The 19,606-nt window shown below is 44.1% G+C and overlaps 1 protein-coding gene across 3 annotated transcripts in view, besides 1 other annotated feature; it reads right to left on the bottom strand.

Moving 5' to 3' along the window:
• The window catches only part of TMEM132C (transmembrane protein 132C), a 440,742-nt gene extending 421,253 nt beyond the window's left edge, over window positions 1–19,489 (bottom strand). For 2 of the 3 annotated variants that reach the window (NM_001136103.3, XM_047429886.1), the window contains exon 1: window positions 19,172–19,489. In NM_001136103.3, the coding sequence (NP_001129575.2) occupies window positions 19,172–19,256 (85 nt within the window). In that variant the 5' untranslated portion in view covers window positions 19,257–19,489. Of the gene's footprint in view, window positions 1–18,364; window positions 18,668–19,171 lie in introns of those variants that run through there. The other variant, NM_001387058.1, reaches the window with a different exon arrangement.
• Window positions 18,448–19,286: an enhancer, noted in NCBI's record as "H3K4me1 hESC enhancer chr12:128751918-128752756 (GRCh37/hg19 assembly coordinates)". NCBI's record gives its function as "activates a minimal SCP1, AML or CMV promoter by ChIP-STARR-seq in naive H9 embryonic stem cells {active_cell/tissue: H9 hESC(naive)}" and the evidence as "EXISTENCE:reporter gene assay evidence [ECO:0000049][PMID:30033119]".
• Window positions 19,490–19,606: the final 117 nt, after the last annotated feature.

Genomic DNA, 19,606 nt, shown 5'->3' with positions numbered 1-19,606 from the left:
TCAAAGGCAGAAATGAAAAATGGTCCTGAGGTCATAACCTAGACTATTTGTCCCACACAGCATTTAACAATTTTTTATTTTGCTGTCCACACTTGAAAGCTGCCATTTCATATTTAAATATCCTTATTTCCCGGTTTATGTAAATCAATAAGGCTTAGGAATTATTCTGCCCACACCCACTACTGTCTATGGGGGCCAGAGCTACTCTCACCTGCTGTCACCATGTGGGAGTGGCCCTGGCCTCACAAACTGAGCATCATATTCCCGTTCATCATAGCCCAATCAATGTGCTTCACTCCTGTCTAAGCAGGGGCCCTGGAGGCATTTGAGTTTGTAAGCCTGCATCCAGGAGTGGGCACATTCCACCAAGCAAGGCAGAGTCGTTTCCTGAAATGTTCACGTATAAGCTAAGGGAAGCAAAGACCTTCCTGAGAACTGAAGTCCAGGAGCTCTCAGAGGCCACATTTCCCATAATGTAGAAAATCCAAATGAGAGAATGAAGCCTCCATGAAAGCATGCGTGTGTGTGAAGGAGGCAGAGAGAGAGAGAGAAAGGGAGAGAGGGATAGAGATGGGGAGAGAGAGAGAGAGAGAGAGGAAGGGAGAGAGGGATAGAGGTGGGGAGAGAAAGAGAGAAAGGGAGAGAGGGATAGAGATGGGGAGAGAGAGAAAGAGAGAAAGGGAGAGAGAGATAGAGATGGGGAGAGAGAGAAAGAGAGAAAGGGAGAGAGGGATAGAGATGGGGAGAGAGAGAAAGAGAGAAAGGGAGAGAGGGATAGAGATGGGGAGAGAGAGAAAGAGAGAAAGGGAGAGAGGGATAGAGATGGGGAGAGAGAGAAAGAGAGAAAGGGAGAGAGGGATAGAGATGGGGAGAGAGAGAGAGAGAGAGAAAGAGAGAAAGGGAGAGAGGGATAGAGATGGGGAGAGAGAGAGAGAGAAAGAGAGAAAGGGACAGAGGGATAGAGATGGGGAGAGAGAGATGGGGGCGAGGGGAGGGAGAGGGAGAGAGAGAGAGAGAGAGAATGAATATGTCCTTGACGCCCTATTCAAATCCCAGTGAACCCCTGGGTCCGGCTGGTTCCTCTCCTCTTTTAGTCAATCTTTCCTTGGCTTGCCTGTCTGTAAAAGTTCCTCTGCTGCCTACACTGGTGTTAACCTGTTACTTGTGTTTAAGAGTCTAATGTTCTTCCCTGGCAACGACATTAAGCTCTTTAATCTTTTAAAAGCTGGTGATAAGATAATTTTATTTATTTACTAAAATGTCTTTTTTTTTGTTTTCATTCCTATTTGTAATTAAAACACAATAATTGTACATATGCATGGGGTACAATATGATATTCTGATAAATGTACAAAATGTGTAATGATTAAATCAGAGTAATTGCATATCAATCACCTCAAATACCATTTTTGTTGAAAACATTCAAAATCTGTTCTTCTAGGTATTTGAAAATATACAATAAATTGTTGTTCATCATAGTCACCCTGCAGTGCTGGAACTTATCCCTCCTACCTCACTAAACAGGGTCTTGTTCTGTCTCCCATGCTGGAGTGCAGTGGTGCAATCTTGGCTCACTTCAACCTCCACCTCTGAAGGTCAACAATCCTCCTACCTCAGTCTCCCAAGTAGCTGGGACTAAAGGCACTCACCACCACGCCCAGCTAATTTTTTGTGTTTATTTTTTGGGGTAGAGCTGGGTTCTCACCACATTGCCTAGGCTGGTCTTGAACTCCTGGGCTCAAGCAATCCTTCCACCTCAGCCTTCCGAAGTACTGGGATTACAGGCATGAGACACCATGCTGGCTGTCTTCTACTCTTTACTTCTATTCTATGAGATACCATAGCCTTAGAAAGGGTTATTATTATTAAAATGATAATTTATCCCAAATTCATCTATATCATTTTCTTATTTTACATAATTCCAATTAACTTAAGCCACTGACTTTTAATGTTACTATATGTTTAACTGCTATAGGTAGAAATTGTCTTATTTATGTGGGCTAGAGTTACACGGGAAGTCTAATCTGTGCATAGAAGAGGCACTCTGCTAACCTTTCACCATTATTTCTTACAGGAAACCTCTTGCCATTATTTCTTACAGGAAAGCTGGCTTAGATTGATGTGGATTGGCTTCACATAGGCTTGAGGGCACTCACAGTGTGGTGGTCACAGCACATGTGCCAAGGACCATGGAGATAGACCCAGTAGGTCCAAACCCTGACTCTGCCAATCATTTGCTTTACATTTTAGAAATGCTCTCAGTGTCCCCAGTTGTAGGACTAACAAATGTGCTTATCTCCTGAGGTTACCATAAGAGTAAGTTTACACACATATGTATATCTGTCACACAAATGATGGTCCTCCCAGAGCACTATACACTCCTAAACACGAATGACTGTTTAGATGCTGTATCAGTCAGAGTTCTCCAGAGAAACAGAACCAATAGGATATAGATATGTAAGAGTAGACTTGTTATGCAAATTGGCTCACGTTATTTTCCTAGGAATGGCTGGTCAGTACATGGTGGTACATGGGCCCATGGTCCTCTCTGGTCAACGTGCTCATTCACCACCCCGACCTGCCAAAAAATGGGTATCCTGAGGTAGAGAAGTTGCAGCACATTCCTTTGACTTGAACTTTATAGGATTCTTCTAAACAGATAATATAATGGAGTTCATGTAACTGAAGATACAAACTGGATGCTGCCCCTCTTCCTCCTGCTTCTGAACAGTTCAGCCCAACACCATCAGGAGAGGCCCAGCAAGGCAGACAGTGGAGACTCAGTGGCTGAGGCAGGGGGTCAGAGGAGTGGCAAGGAGGACAGGCGGCATCAGGGGCTGGAGATTGAGTGGACTGAGATGGGGAAGGCAGGGGAAATGGCCTGGCCTGGGATTAGGAAAAGGGAACTACAAACACAGAAAGGAAGAAACCTAGAATGACTCCTGTGGTGCTGGATTAGAATCTGAGGCATCAGTGTGAACTCATGGTTTTTAAGGCAGATAAATAGATTAGATAATAGATAGATGGCTGGAGGCATAGGTAGATAGACACAGAACAGTAGACAGAGAACAGTAGATAGCTAGGATAGGTTAGTAGAGAGAGACAGACAGAGGGAGAGAGAGAGAGAGAGATGCCTAGATACAGAACAGTAGATGGAGGTAGAGAGGTAATGAGAGAGGAAGAGAGAAAGGCCAATGTGTGCACAATGATTTCCTGCCTCTGTCCACTGAGTGGAACTAGAGCACCCCATTAGTCATGAGCACATGCAGAGCCAGGATCTTGATGTCTAAATACCATTTCCCCACTAAAAGCAACTGAACTGATTCCAAAACTGGGGCAGGGAAGGTACAGATGAGCCTTGAGGATCTTACATCCAGAAAGTAGGGCAGTGCTTAAAGAAGGAGGACATGTCAGAACAACACAGAAGTTGTCATAAAATGGCTCCCACTGGCCAAACCTGTGATATTGTGAGCATCAAAATAAACAGTTATAGTAATGAAATGTAAGCCATAGAGTACAAAAGAAATCCAGGAACCCATCCTGTTATAGATTCATAATGAAATGTTGAAATTCTAATGAGGAACAGGATCATCACGTAGACTCTGAACATCTTTCCACAAAATATGTCTTAATTTCAAAGGGAATAAGAGTAACCTCACAGTAGAGAAGCCCAGCAGACACCACCTTAATCAGGTGATCAAAGAGAACATCATTAATATTGTGACACATTTAAATCCCATGCAACCCGATAAAGTACAAAGACAACAGCAGAGCATCCTGTCTGGAGCATTCCTGCCCAAAATGTAGCATCTGAATCACTAATCAGGAAGAAACATCAGACAAATCTGAATGGAGAGACGTGTCACAAAATAACTAGCCTGGTAAGCTTCCGCAGTGTCAAAGTCATGAAATTCAAGGGAAGACTGAAAAAAAGTAAAAACCCATGACAACTAACTGCAATGTGCAATCCTGAACTAGATCCTTCTGCTGTGAATTATTGGGACAATAGTTGATATGGTTTGGCTCTGTGTCCCCACCCAAATCTCATCTGGAACTGCTGTAATCCCAACACGTCCAGGGAGGGACCTAGTGGGAGGTGACTGGATCATGAGGAGGGGGGTAGTGGCTTTCTCCATGCTTTTCTCATCATAATGAGTGAGTTCTCACAAGATCTGACGGTTTTATAAGGGACACTTTTCCTTTTGCCTCTTCCTTTTCCTGCCACCATGTGAAAAAGGTACTTGCTTCTCCTTTGCCTTCTGCCATGATTGTAAGTTTCCTGAGGCCTCCCAAGCCATGCAGAACTGTGAGTCAATTAAACCTCTTTCCTTTATAAATTACCCCGTCTCAGGGGAATTCTTTATAGCAATGTGAAAACGGAATAATACAACAGTATTGTGTGGTAATAATGCAGCAGTGGTAATTCTCTGATTTTGATGTTATCTTGTGCTTTTGTAAGAGAATGTCTTGTTTGTAAGAAATACACAACAAAACATTCAGGGATGATAAGCATCAACTCAGCCAGTTACTCTGAGATGGTTCATGGGACAAAAGTTCTAGGCACCTATTTTTGAAATATTCTAAATGTTTGAGCTTGTTTAAACATAAAAACAACAAAAAACTCCAGCCATTTTCCACTATGTATGAGTAGTTTTTATTTGTATAGGTGTCAGCCTCAGGAGGAAAGAGAATCCAACTCCAATGTTCAAAGTCCCTTTTATGAAGGAACTATTTATGGAAGAAATGAAATAATGAGGCTGGGTACCTAGAGATAAGAAATAGACATTATCTTCACCTGAAGGGGGAAGTGGAGAAGGGAGTGTTCCTCAAGGTCAGTGGGAGCTGGAATCTTGAACAGAGGCCACCCAACAGGAATTAGATTCATGGGGAGACAAAGGCACAGCCAGAGATGGGCCCAAACAAGGAGCGAGTGGGGAACAAATATTCCAGCTTCTCCTTTCTCTTGCCCTCCAATCTCTTGCCATGTCCCCACTAGTCAGCCCCCCATGGAATCCAGCAGATACAAGAACCAGGAGTTGCCCTTTGCAGGGTCAGCCTCCTAGGGTTCAGAGCAGGACAGAGAACAACGGAGATTGTATCCAAAATGTGCAAATGAAAAATAAAGACAAATAGACATTAGGTCATTTGATCCTTTTAAATAACTCCATGAGACACATTTTACTAGCCCCAGTGACAGACCCAGAAGCTGAGGTTTGATGCTACAATTGGCTTTCCCATGTCTACACAGTGGAGCAGGGATTTGATTCAGGCCAGTATAACCACCAAGCCTTGATCTTGCCTCCCAAACAGGACCTGTCTGGAGAGGAAGGGGTCCTAACTTGTTGAAACAAACCTGTTTTAGATCTCATCTTTCTCTCTTCCAACTGGCACTCGGGCCACCTCTTGTATCTATCTCATTTTGCCTCTGATATTGAAGGCAGCCTGGGTTGACAGCTGAGTGATACATGATGTTTGCTTATCCTTGGTTTCAGGCAAGTATGACACAAACTCAACTAGGAAAACACATCTTCATGCTGTCTCCTGTTCATAGATACTAATCCAAGTAGACTTCTGAGGAGGAAAGAGATACTACTTGCTTGCATGACTCTTCTATGTTCCTGTGACCTGTGTTGATCACAGTCTCAAAGCTGGAGATGTAGGAATATGTATCGTTCTTTTTCTGGTCTCAAATGTGGGTAACAACACCCACATTTTTCTCTGCATCCCACTTCTAGCCCATATGAACTCCTCCCACAGCTCCCTGGCCTGGATAATTAGAGCACATTGTTTTCTATTGACTGGGTTGAATGGTTCAGAAACTGGCATATGAAACAAACAGAGCCAATGAAACACAGTATGACTTTTGCTGGGATTATTGAGAGAGAGATATTTGACCCCTCAAGCATGTAAACTTGGAACTTCCAAGAGCCACAAATTAGAACCTAATAAGGAAGCCAACAGTATAACAGGCCGAGTAAATCACTTTTTAAACAAATTCTAATGTTATAATTGAATACCCAGATCAAGTCACATCTGATGCCTCATTATAATATCTTTCCATCCACTCAAAAGATACCTTATACTCATTAGTAGTCCGTCCCCATTATTCTAGTGATTACGCTATTAAGTTAACTGAATTTAAGCATGTTTTCCTTATATAAGGATATTAGGATGCTTTTCACTATTTATGATAGAATTCTGGTCTGTGTTTGAAGTTTAGTCCTTTAATGTAGTCAGTTTTGAGAATCTCTTGTCTACAAGGAAGGAGCCCCTCCTATATCTCACCTGAAAGTAAGAGGCAGATGGATACAAGGGAGGGTAGGACAACTCAGAAATAAAGTCGGCGACTTGAAAATGTTGCCCCTGGCCAGCATGTGAATTTGTGTATCACACTCCTCTTCTGAGCACTCTCACCTCAAATTGACGGGGGCACTTCCCTGGAGCGACTGACGGAGAGAAGAGATGAAGACAGGCTCCATTCTCAGCTAGAGACCTTTAATAAAATGGTGGCCTTCAGAGATTTCTGGCATATAAAACTTACCTCCCCATTTTCATGTATGTAGCAGGCAGCATGAATCTTGGGCTATCAAGATTCAAGAGACTGGCTCAGAATGAAGGACAGATAATATGAGAAGCCGAAGACAGACTGAAGTCATTTATTCACTTGTCCGTTCATTCATTTATCAAGCATTCGGGGCCTCACCAGAGTACCAGAGGTACTAGAGCCATCAGCAAAATAGATAAATACAACCATGAAACAATAGGCTGAAATTTCTGTTCTCATGGAGCTTTAATTCTAGGGAATGGGAAGACAGTTAAATAAGTCAAAGTTATAGTTTATCAGGAGGTGATAAGTGCAAAGAGAAAGGACAAAATAGGGACAGGGCACAGAAAGGGCAGGAATGGAGAACAACAGACAATGTGCATAGGGAGACTTCCATGAGGAGGTGCCCTTGGCACACAGATCTGAGAAGCTGAAAGTGCGTCATGAGGGTATCTAGAAGTTACCCCACAGTAGGCATGTGCAAAGGCCCTGCGGTGGGAGCCTATCTGGGGTGGTGAGCCCAGCAAGCAGGCCCATGGGACTGGAGCAGAGTGTGGGGTTGAAAATGAGGTCAGAAGGATGCTACGGGGTCAGAGATTACAGAGCGCCTTGTAGATCACCGCACAGACTGTGGTATTACCTCTGAATGTGATGGGAGACACTAGAGAATTTGGGGCAGAGGACATGATCTGACCACTAGTCAAGAAGGGCTTAAACATGCAGCTGGTGTTTGCTGAGGATGGTGGACATTTAGATCTTCCCGTCGGGCTAATGAACAAAGTAAGGAAGCACTGTCTCTAGAGGATTAGCAGTGATTTAATAATAATAAAAAAAATGACAGCACCAATTCTGTCTCTGAAGTATATTCCTTTTATGTGGCCAGTTCTGGGAATCCATTATCTTCAAGGAATGGAGATAATGAGTGTGCTTGGAGAATAGACAGGTGAGATATGTGAGAGAGAAAACAAAATTCCCTTTGCCTGGGACTAGATCTTCCAGGACCCTCTATTACTCAGGGTTCTCCTGGGAAATAGAACCAATAGAGTGAGTATATAAGGAGAGAAACTTATTTTAAGGTATTGGCTCATGCAATTATGGAGTCTGGCAAGTCCAAAATCTGTAGGGTGGGCTGGCAGGCTGGAGACCCAAGGAAGACCTAATGTTGCAGTTCACGTCCAAATGCTGTCGACTGGCAGAATTCCTTCTTGTCTTCTAGGGGTGGTCAGCCTTTTGATCTCTGCAGGCCTTCAACTCATTGGATGAGGCTACCCACATTATGCAGAGTAACCTGTTTTATCAAAATCCACCAATTTGTTAATCTCACCCAAACACACACACACACACACACACACACACACACACACATACACGTATAGAATCAAGTCTGCACAAATATCTGGGAACCGTGGCCCACACAAGTTAAGACAAAAACTTAGTCATCATGGACACCCTGACCACCGGGGTTTAGTAAAAAGCTGATGTTTGTAGGCTTCTTGCCTCTGTGAATGGTAGAGGGGACCCCTTCCCACCCAGAACTAACAGGCAACCACACAGTCAAACCACTGCCAGCTGTCACCTCCATGGCATCGGTGCCGCAGGGAGACAGGCTGGGGTCAAGGGCCAGGACATGGCCAGGGAGACAACTGACCAGGAGAAGGCAGTGAGAGATCCCAGCTAGGAAACGTCATTTAGTTAATAGGATATGAACACGACAGATGAAAACACTGAGTTTGAAGGCAAATGAGAAAAGTCTGCTCTCTCAGTCAATTCATTGCTTACAATTAAACAGTGGAAAATAAAGAAAATGGTAACCCGGGGCTGTGTCGTGACCCAAAAGGTTTACAAAAATTGAAGATAAGAACCTATTGCCATTTAGGAGGCAGGAAAGAGGGAACAAAGCCGGAGCAGAACAAATGCCCCGAAACATAGACTTCCCCTGAGATTTTTGTTCTCCTAAATCAGGATGCCAGAGGGGCAAGCCTTTTAGGGTCACCGTATACAGCTGCGGCATGAGAAACTGGCAGGCTTTAGCAACTCAGCCCAGGGATCCCACAGTCCTGGGGGTGAGCACCTGAGGTTGAAAGTAAGGTCTCCTTATCTGCAAGAGGAGGTCAGTGATAGAAGATGCTACTATTGCAGTGCCCATCTCTTATTGGAGGGATGTTGGATGGCTGGATATCAATGAGAGAAGAATGAATGAAGGTCAAGACAAGCAGAAAAGAGGAAAAGCCACCCAGAGGTAGAGATGTGATGAGAGATAAAGAAGGCCACCTTCCTAATTTGAGATGTCCTGGACTTTGTTGTTTGTGCATAGGCAGGAGAAACGAGCTGACCTCCCATGTGGGCTGCCCCCACAATGTGGAGCACACCCGTGAGAAGTGGCCATCCAGTGGCTTTTGATTCCCTTCATTTTGCTCATTTGGTTGATGAATAGGGTTTTGCCTGCTGGGCAGTCATTCCCCATCTTCTGAAACAGCTCCACCTGTGTTTGGGCATCATCACACCTTCTATCTTAGTGGTGTGGGTGGAAGTGACCTCACCCCCAGGCTCCCAGAATTCCTGTGCCCAAGATCTGCATCATCAGAAAACCCCATTCCCTTAAGTCCGCAGTAAGTGGGCGAAAGGCTGTAGTGAGTGCCAAAAATCTGCCCCTGCAACTTTTTCTACAACCGTGTGAGAAGTCACTTTCTTTTAGTTGAGTATGCTGTGTGGACAGAATATAAGCCTGGAGGTGCTGTTGATAATGATGGCCTCTCCAAAATGAAGACAGCAAAGAGGACAGAGCAGCCAAGAGATTGGGAGAAACAGAAACTGTCCAATGACATCACTTGACCCCTGGATCCAGCTGTGCCTGAAGTCTATCTGGACTTTGCAGTTACTGAACAAATTATTTTTTTCCTTCTTTTGACTTTGGTATGGTTTGCTTAAGCTGGGAGTTTTGGCATTTGTAACTAGAGGAATCGTGAATAAGAAACTGAATAATTTGGTGCATATTCAAAAAACATTTCCATCAAACAGGGAAAACTGCTTCAGTGTGTCAAACCCAACCTCATTGTTTCCAGTGGAGACAAAAATCACATTTTCAGGAATACCTTGTTTAGGGCATAAGTAAGAGCTTTTTCTTTTTTGTTTGTTTGTTTTGTCTTAAAATCATCACTAAGCTGTAACTCAATGATAAGACCAGAAACTAGCCTAGAATTGTGTGTGTGTGTGTGTGTGTGCATGCACGCACATGCATGCACACATGTGTGTGTTGAGGCAGGAGGCAGTTTTCTTCAAGTTCCTTTATTTTGGGAATATAAGAATCCCTTGTTGCCTCAAAGACTTGCTAGTAGAATACCGCGTGCCAAAGTGGCCAGCATTTGATCCACATTTCTACAGCATCTGGGTCCGCAGAGACAGTGAGGAAACACAGCAAAAGTAAACATAATTATGGGGCCAGAGGGACCAATTGAGCAAGAAGGATGAAAAAAGTCAACTGCAGAGTTGGGAGAAAAAATTAACCTAAGAGAGAAATGGGGCCTGCTCTGGATGGTTTTCATGACTCTGAGAACTCAGAAGGAGAAGGGAAGCTTAAGATCGTGTCAAGAATATCCTAACACTAAGCCAGATGGAATTATGCCTAAGCTGTAGTTAAGCATGAAGTGGTCAAGGGATGTCTCAGAATATAAACCTTTGGCTCTCTGTTTAGGTCTACAATAAACAAACACCTCACACTTGACCAGTTTTCCTATTCCCCGATATTGTTGAATGCACAGTTCTGTTTTCTTTGCTTTGTGTTTTAAATTATTCTCAGTTATTTTTAAAAAATATCTATGTAAGGTTTCCATTGTATTGTACTGTGGATTCTTCTTCTCCATGGCTTTAATAATACAAATAATGATGGCCCTGATTTATTGAACTTTACTATATGCCAAGTCTTACCGCATGCAATAGTTTGCATGGCCTCAAAAGCGAATGTCCACTTAGAACCTGTGAATATGTCCTTGCTTAAGAAAAAAATCTCTTTTCAGATGTCATTAAGGATCTTGAAATGAGATCATCCTGGATTACAGTGGGTTATAAATCCAATGACCGGTATCCTTATAAGACAGACAGGTAAGGATCATTTAGAATGGGAGGCCATGTGAAGACGGAGGCAAAGATTGCTGTGATGCTGCCACAAGCCAAGAGCACCAGGAGCCAAGAGAAGCTGGAAAAGGCAAGGAAGGATCCTCCCCTGGGGGCTCAGCACAGTGCATGGCCCTGACAACATATGATTTTGGACTTTTGGCCCCAGAATTGTGAGAGGACCAATTTTTGTTACATTAAGCTTCCATGTTTGTTACAACTGCCCTTGGAAATTCATAAAGCGTGCTAAGTATCTCTAGTCCACTTTTGCATTAAATATTGTCAACCATCCTATAAAATAGATATTATCCCTTCTTAGCACAGTGGTCCCCAACCTTTTTGGCAAAAGGGACCAGTTTTGTGGAAGACAATTTTACATCGGACCAGGGGGTGGGGGGATTGTTTCAGCATCATTCAAGCACATTACATTTATTGTGCATTTTATCTCTATTATTATTACACTGTACTATATAATAAAATATTATATAACTCACCATAATGTAGATTCAGTGGGAGCCCTAAGCTTGTCTTCCTGCAACTAGACCATCCCATCTTGGGGGCTAGTGGTGGACAGTGACAGATCATCAGGCATTAGATTCTCATAAGGAGCATGCAACCTAGGCCCCTCGCATGCACAGTTCATGATAGGATTCTAGCTTCTATGAGAATCTAATGCTACCGCTGATCTTACAGGAGGCAGAGCTCAGGCAGTAATGTGAGGGATGGGGAGCAGCTATAAATTCAGAGGAAGCATTGCTCGCTTATCCATCACTCACCTCCTGCTCTGCAGCCTAGTTCCTAATAGGCCACGGACCAGTACCAAACCATGACCAGAGGGTTGGGGAACCCTGACTTATAAAACAAAACTGAGGCTCAGAAAAGCTGTCCTTTATTTTTTCACTACATACACTAGGTCTTAGGGCCAGTGGAATGAACATTGGTTGATTTTTCATCCAGCATCCATCACACCTTCTTTTAGTAACAGCTCTTCAGTTTTTCTCTGGGAGGAAAATCCTTTCCCCTTGGATACAAAATGATGGAACTATTAATGAGGCTGTCTTATACCTTTCTAGATAGAGATGGGCCTACACAATCTGTGTGCATCCCTGAGAGTTAGAATCACCTGAAGAGCTTTTAAACAGTAAAACTGATCAGCCCTGCCTCCACACCCACCCCTACTCCATCCCTACCAAAGAGCCTGATTCCATTGGTTTGGGATAAGGCCTGGGGATTGGTATTTTCAAAATTCCCCAGGTGAAAAGTTTAGCCAAGGTATAGGCTTCTTTCACCCTGGAATCTAAAACATGAGCACTGAGACAAAAATAAGTAAAATGGTTCCTGTTTTCCAACTGCGGTACCCTAAAGAAGCCAGACAATTATAGCTACAGGAACCCAGCACCTGGCAGCTTCCTGCTCATAGGAAACCTCGTCCTTTAGCTTTCTCTGGAGTCAAGAGCTTCCAATCTCTTATAACTTAGTAATAAGCAATTAAGGTATTAAGATGTTTCTGTTGCTAACAACCAAAGACTTCTGACCAATTCATCCAGGAACTGGTGGAACAGAAGCTCAAACTTAAGCTGTTGTTTCTATGATACTGAACCTTCCTAATTAGTCCATAAGTGATAACTCACCATGTTGCTGGCAAGATGAAGGGTATTGAGAGAAGAAAGAAAAAAATGTTATACATAGAAAAGACATGGTCTTCTATATTAAGTCTTTGGGTTACTTTAGGATTCCAGCCATATGCAAGTGTAAACTCAACATTCCTAACACATTATTAAGAACATCCTTAATCAGGAAGAAAAAATGCGTACACATTGTGGAAGACAAGAAATCAGTCTCTCTGGGAGAATAACTGGAATCCATTGTCTTGGAAATTTTGCTGATTTAGACTCCAGATGGGTTGTATTTCACATTTGCTTTCTCCTTGAATGCAGCAACTTCTAAGTTCCTAAAGGCATATAAAACAAGGGAGCTCAGTGCACAGGTAGGAGAATAACATCTTGAAGAGAAACTGGTTTTAAGAACATCAGAAGTACCCATTTAGAAACAAAAGCAACACCATTAATACAATTTTTATTCTTCTTTAATAGACATAAAGATAATTTTTAAATGACAATTCTCCCAGTCACACCTAGGGTACGTGAGTGCATGTACTTGAAAACATAGTAGAGGAAAACAGTGTAAGGAATATACTGTTGTAAATTTCTTATATAGCATACAAAGCACCGTAACATAATTTGAATGCAAGTAATGATTAATTAAAATTGTATTTTGTAAGCCATAGAGCAATGACTAAAATTTAAAAAGAAGTATAAATAATAAGCCAATAGTGGAGATAAAATGGAACCATAGAAAATACTCAATATAAAAGCTGGTAGGGAAAGAAGAATAAAGAGCAGATGGAACATAAATAAAACAATGAGCAAAATAGTAGATCTTAATACAAATAGATGAATAATTACATTAAATATAAGTGGTCTAAACATTACACTTAAAAGACAGAGATTATCAGATTGGATAAACAAGTGAAACCCAACTATATGCTGCCTATAAACAACCAACATTACATATAGAGACATAAGTTAAAAGTAAAAAGATGAAAAAGATATTACCATAAAAATACCAATCAAAAGAAAGCTGAGGTGGCTATATTAATATCAGATAAAATAGATTTTAGAACAAGAAATATTTCTAAGAATAAAGAAAGGCATTACATAAAGGTGGATTGATTGAACAACAACAAAAAAATCCTAAGTATGTACCTAAGACAGTGTTCAAAATACATGAAACGAAAGCTGTCAGAGCTAAAATAAAAAACAGACAAAACCATAACATAGTTGGAGACCTCAATACTCTTCTCTCAATAAGTGACAGAACAAACAGATCAGTAGGAATATAGAAGACCTGAACAACACTATACACATTTAGGGAATCATTGTGGCCTTGGGTAAGGCACAGCTTCCTTAGATGTGACACCAAAAAACCAATAACTAAAAGAAAATATTAATAAACTAAACATCATTAAAATGTAACACCTCTGCTCTTCCAAAGACACATACTCAGAGAAACTATCTTAAAACACTTATCTGACAAAGGACTTGCATTCAGAATATATAAAGCACTCTCAAAAATCGTAACAGGAAAATAATCAATAAAAAATGGGTACAATATTTGAAAAAGATATTTCACCAAAGACAATATAAGGACAGCAATTAAGCACAAGAAATATTATTCAACATTATTAGTCATGAGGGCAAAAATTAAAACCTCAAAGAAATGCCTATTATACACCTATCAGAATGACTAAACAAAATCAAAACAAAATGGATAATATCAAATGCTGCTGAAGATACAAACCAACTATTAGACATGGCTGATGGGGATGCAAACTGCTAAAACTATGTTTAAAAAGAGTTTGCAGTATTTTATGAAGTTATATATACAGTCTGCATACAACCTAGCAATCCCAATCCTAGCTAGTTACTCAGGAGAAATGAAAATATATGTTTGCATGAAGATTGTTGGTGAATATTTATAGCAACATTTTTCATAATTACCCAAAACTTGCATAATTTTAAGGTCTTTTCAGTATGAAATAAACTGTGGTGCGTTCATTCAATGGAATGCCATTCAGCATTGAAAAGGAACAAACTATTGATACATAGGTGACTATCAAATGCATCCTGCTAAGTAGAAGAAAGCAGATCCAAAAGCTGCATACTGCATGATCCTGTTTTTATGACATTTTGAAAAAGGTAAAACTCTAGAGACAAATAACTAATCAGTGGTTGCCAGGACTGGAGGTAGAGGAAGGAGGGGGCTACAAAGGCAAATAGAAATTTTGGAGAGTAATGGGCACGTTCTATACCGCAATCCTAGTGATGTTTACGTGACTGTGTGCATTTGTCGAAACTTAGAACTATACACTCAAAGAGGTGAATTTTATTGTGTGCAAATTACACTTTAATAAGCCTGGCTTTTAAACAAAGTAGATGGCTGTAAAAATGTTCTATCGATCAGATGTTCCATTTATTCCATTAATTCAGTAATACTTTCCTTCACTTCAATTAATATACCAAAGACACATTTTTATTAACCTTGCTTTTTATGACTATGGATGTATGAAATATCTAATACATCCAAAGGCTTTGTTTTAACCTCTGCTCATGGAGGTGTTAACTACTAATATAATTGAGAGTGCTGAGCTCTTCTCTGCATGACTGTAGCCACCCTGGTGATTAAGCTAACTGTGAACAGTGAGATGAACGAAGAAGAGGTTGAAGCAAAACTCAACTGCTTAAGGGAAGGGTCAGGCGAGTGAGCAGAGGAAGAGAGGACCTGAATAAACACATTCTCCAGAGGAGGACACCCCTGCTCAGCTTTGGCACAAGGTAGCCATAAAAGAAATTACACCCAAGATTGGCAGACTCTCGACACTTTTGAGAGAAGTTGGAAATCCTAATTTGCTTTTCATAATGAAGGAGAAAACTTATTTGATCATCTCAGTAGATGCAAAAGAGCATTTGATAAAATTCTATATGCAACTTCTAGCAAACTAGAAATAAAATCTTTTTTATAATGGACAGATAAAATGTATATACAGTTACAGAGTACAATATGATGATTTGATATATGTACACATTGTGGAAATCCTAATTTTTTTATGTGAATGATCCCATTTCTCTTCATTTCATTTTATTATTATTATTATTATTATTATTATTATTATTATTATATTATTATTATTTTGAGACCAAGTCTTACTCTGTCACCCAGGCTGGAGTGCAGTGGCATGATCTTGGCTCACTGCAACCTCCAACTCCCAGATTCAAGCAATTCTCATGCCTCAGTCTCCCGAGTAGCTGGGATTAGAGGCCCCCGCCACCACGCCCAGCTAATTTTTGTATTTTTAGTAGAGATGGGGTTTCACCATGTTGGCCAGGCTGGTCTTGAACTTCTGCCCTCAAGTGATCCACTGTCTTTGCCTCCCAAAGTGCTGGAATTACAGGTGTGAGCCACCGTGCCTGACCAACTCTCACAATTTTTAAATGTTGGGAGCCTTTGAAAAAAAAAATTGTATGGATAAAACAGTACTTGTCTGTGGGTCCTGAAGTTCGCAAGCACTAGTAAAGAAATTTGGGTATAGAAGAAGAACTATAATAGGACACATTGAGATCTGATGGTTTAATAGAATGATTTCCAAGAAGTTGCAATAACTACTAAGAGGCTAAAACACAGTAAGGAATTTCGACTTGAGGGATAAGAAGGGACAAGGATGAAAAGAAAACCTATGTGTCTGTGCTAAGTGTACACATGTAAGTGTATGCAGGACAAGACAAGAGCATCATTCGTTGGTGGCAGCACGAATGCGGGTGAGTTGAGAGGGGCTTCTCCACCCTGATGACATCCTAGGAGGATCCTATTTCTCATCCCTGCTATAGAACGTAAATCCCTTACCAGAAACCCAAAACCCCTAAAGCACTGACAATCCCAAGGTTTGGCTGGTTGGTTGTATTTAATTCATTCCGTGGCCAACACTGATCTGAAGTCAAGCTATTTGGGGTCTTATTATCCTTCTTTAGGTAAAGATTCATACATTGCACACAAAGTCAGCACGATGTGCAATTACAGGCTGCAACTCCAGACGCAGACTAAGGGTGCCATACCACACATGCATATGACTTCATGCCTCTATTTTTCTATCTTTCCTTCTATCTTGTCATTCAAAGATATCAGTAATTCTAAATCTTGAAATACATTTGCCCCCACAGATTTCAGAAAAGAGAATGTGGTCCCACATAACCTTCCCAGAAGGTCTCATATGTGACTAACAACCATCACTAAACTTCCGAGGGCATCTCAGCCTGGCACCGCCCTTCCACTTGCTTTATACAGGCGCAATACATCAACCTCTAATTCAAGGATGTTTTGCCTCTCCTGCCTCGGCCCAAGTCTTAAATCTTAGGAAAAGATTTCTTTCTTTCAATGCCCTGTCCTATTTATGGAACCTCCCAAGAACAATTCTGCCTTTTCCGAACCCTGACAAATTGCAAAGCCTCTAAATCCACAGTCAAAAATAAACAGACAATTGGTATTAAAAATTAATCAGTGGTTTCAAGGATTCCAGAAATCAGCACTTAAATCCGTGTGCAGGAAGAGACAGAGATGGCTTTTTTTTTTTAAAGACAGCAGAAATGTAAACAAGGTCAGCAAACTTTCCTCTCTAGAAGATATCTTACGGTGCAAACGCTTTACGTGTGGAGGAATCCGAGGGGGGAATGAACTGCTGCTTTTGATCATGAGAAACAAACGGAAAATGTATTTTGCAGATGATAAGTTGCAGGCCCTTATGCACCCCCAAATCACGTGGTGAACTTTGTAAAGCAAAAAGCAGGGAAAGAAAGCCCCATCAAATCAAGGTTGCACTTAGCTAGAGGGCAGAGGCGGTTTGGGATAGGGGTGGGGCTTCGCTACGTCCCTAGTTTTCAGCACTTTCCCTTGTTGTGCAAATATCAGCTTCAAATCCAGTCCCAGTTGCCTTTCCAGCCAAATCACTGCCCCCAGCACTGAACACATGGACATCTGTAACAGCCACTCTCGTAATCAAAAGTAAAATCCTCTGGATACACACACACACACACACACACACACACACGGAATGTGAGCCTTAATGAAGAACAGTCCACACTTGCTTTAAAGGGAACATCCAGTTCGCCTGGTTAAATTCTCTCAAGGGCAAGGGGTGAAAACCCGGAGGAGGTCGGTCACGCCCTGCTCAATTAGCACCGCCTTCCTCTGCAAAGTGCTTTACTACCCATTCAGTCATTTTATCAACAAAAAACTGCTGGGAGGTAGGTTGGGAAGGGAATTCTTCAATGGCCACTTTGCATCTAGGAAAACTGAATCCTAGAAACGCTGGAACCTAGAGCTAATTAACAGCAGAATTCAGGCACCAGATCGTGACTGTTGACTCTTTCAAATAAAATAGAAAAGTGCCCCCCTCTCCTACTCCTCCACCCCCGACTTGCCCCCCCTTTCCCTCGTCTCTCACCCCCTTTCCCCCCTCTCTCGCCCCACCCTCTCTTTCCCTCTTCTCTCACTCCTTCTTCCCCCCCCTCTCTCACCCCACCCTCCTCCCTACCTGGAGCTCTTGGAAGAAAGGAACACTTATATAAAACATAGCAAACTTGTCTGGTTGGTGTATCTGGGAAAGCGCAGCCTCAAGGAAAGTAGATTTTTCTGGATTTTCAGGCGGTGCAGAATGACTTTTGAAAAGCAAACGCTACTTTTAAACCTCCATTGACAACTTGTCTCTCTGAACGCATTTCTAGCTCAGCCTCAGAGCATTAGGCGGGAGAAGGGTGGCTTTGAGTGTTCTCTGCTCAGAGCCTGGGGCCGATACTGGACCCGCGGCGCCGCGCGAAGGCTCAGGGCACCCATGTGCGCACCTCCGTTTAACCAAATGAACCCGAGACCTTCGCCAGGGCGCGGGGAGCAGGAAAGCGACGCTCTCCTTTTTCTACGCCCTGGGCGCGCCCCGGGACTCGGGCAGCTGCTGCCCTGGCAGAGCCTAGGCCTTGCTCCCCGCCTGCCCCGCGGCTCCTGGGGCTGGAGACCGCCTCTCCCCGCCCTTCCCGCCGCCGCATCCGCGCGGCCACTCGGCCGCACACGCACATAATAAAAAAGGTCGGAAAAACCACACGGCTACCTTTCGTGAGCCCTGCGGGCGCCATACGTTAACTCCTTTAAATTCCTCCAACCCAAAGCAGGGCCGTCACTCCCATTGTAGAGAAGAGGACACTGAGGTGAAGGAGCCCCGGACAGGACCGCTGGTGAGGTAGTTCCCGTCGCGAGGGACGCACCCACCTCCCCATCCGCGCTCCCCCACCGCAAAGGACTCATTTGAGAGAACCCGCAGAGAGCCCCTGGTTTCTGCCAAGCTGGGGTCCCTGGTGAGCTGCGCGATGAGTGAGCGTTCCTCTAGGGCCCGCACAGAGACCCTAGCGGTTGCGGAAAGGGGATGCAAAGAACCGGGCCTTCCCTCCTGGAGCACCAGCCCCACAGTGCCGAAGCTGTGGATGGGGAGCTGTGGACAGGGAGCACACAGCCGGGAGGAAGGAGCGCACAGAGCGGAGCACCTCTCCTGGATGCCAGTTCCACAGGGTGACTGTGCTGGGGCTGGGGCAGGTCCGCACGGAACTCAGGGATGGGGAACAAACACCGTGTCCCTCAGCCACGCCCCCTCCTCATCCGCGGGGCAGCTCTGGGTCTGGGGGGTCCGGGGTGGGAGATTCGGGACTCGGGACCAGCCTAACTTGCCCGGATCCCGGCGCCCAGCTGGGAGCGCCCTTCTGGATTAGGGGCGGCTCGGCACCCGCAGAGGCGCTGTTGATGGGATCCGAGCCCCCGCCGAGGCCCCCGCCGCACCCCTCGCTTCGGCTGCCCTCACCCCGAGCTCCCCCGGAACCGGGAAGTTCGCATGCGTCGGCGCGCCAGGCACCCGCCCCGGCCTTACCTTTGCCCAGCAGCGCGCCCAGCAGCAGGCTCAGCGCCCCGCACAGCGGCGCCGCCGGCCCGGGGGCCGCACCCTCGGAGCGCATCCTGCGTCCCGGCCGCTCACGCAGCCCGCCGCCAGCCCGAAGCGCAGCGCCCGCCCGCGGCCCCCGCCGGCCGCCCCATGCCCGGGGCCACTCCCGCAGCCCGGTCGGCCGGGCCCGCTGCGTCTCTGCTGTCCGAGGCCCGCCCCTGCCGGGTCCACGCCGCCGCAGCTCCGGCTCTGGCTCTGGCGGCTCCGGCTCCGCCGCTGCTCGCGCTCCGGCCGGGACAACTTTTCTCCCGCAGCCTCCGCAGCCTCCGCAGCCGCCGGCCCGCCCCGCCCCCGGCCCCGCCCCCGCCCCCGCCCGGGCCCCGCCCCCGCCGAGCCCCGCGACCGCGGACAGATTGAGGGTGC

The sequence above is a fragment of the Homo sapiens genome, chromosome 12 (assembly GCF_000001405.40).
Source record: "Homo sapiens chromosome 12, GRCh38.p14 Primary Assembly".
NCBI classification, from domain to species: domain Eukaryota; kingdom Metazoa; phylum Chordata; class Mammalia; order Primates; family Hominidae; genus Homo; species Homo sapiens.
The sequence above is the reverse complement of the archived record's forward strand: the minus strand, read 5'-3'. Positions and strand labels throughout refer to the sequence as shown.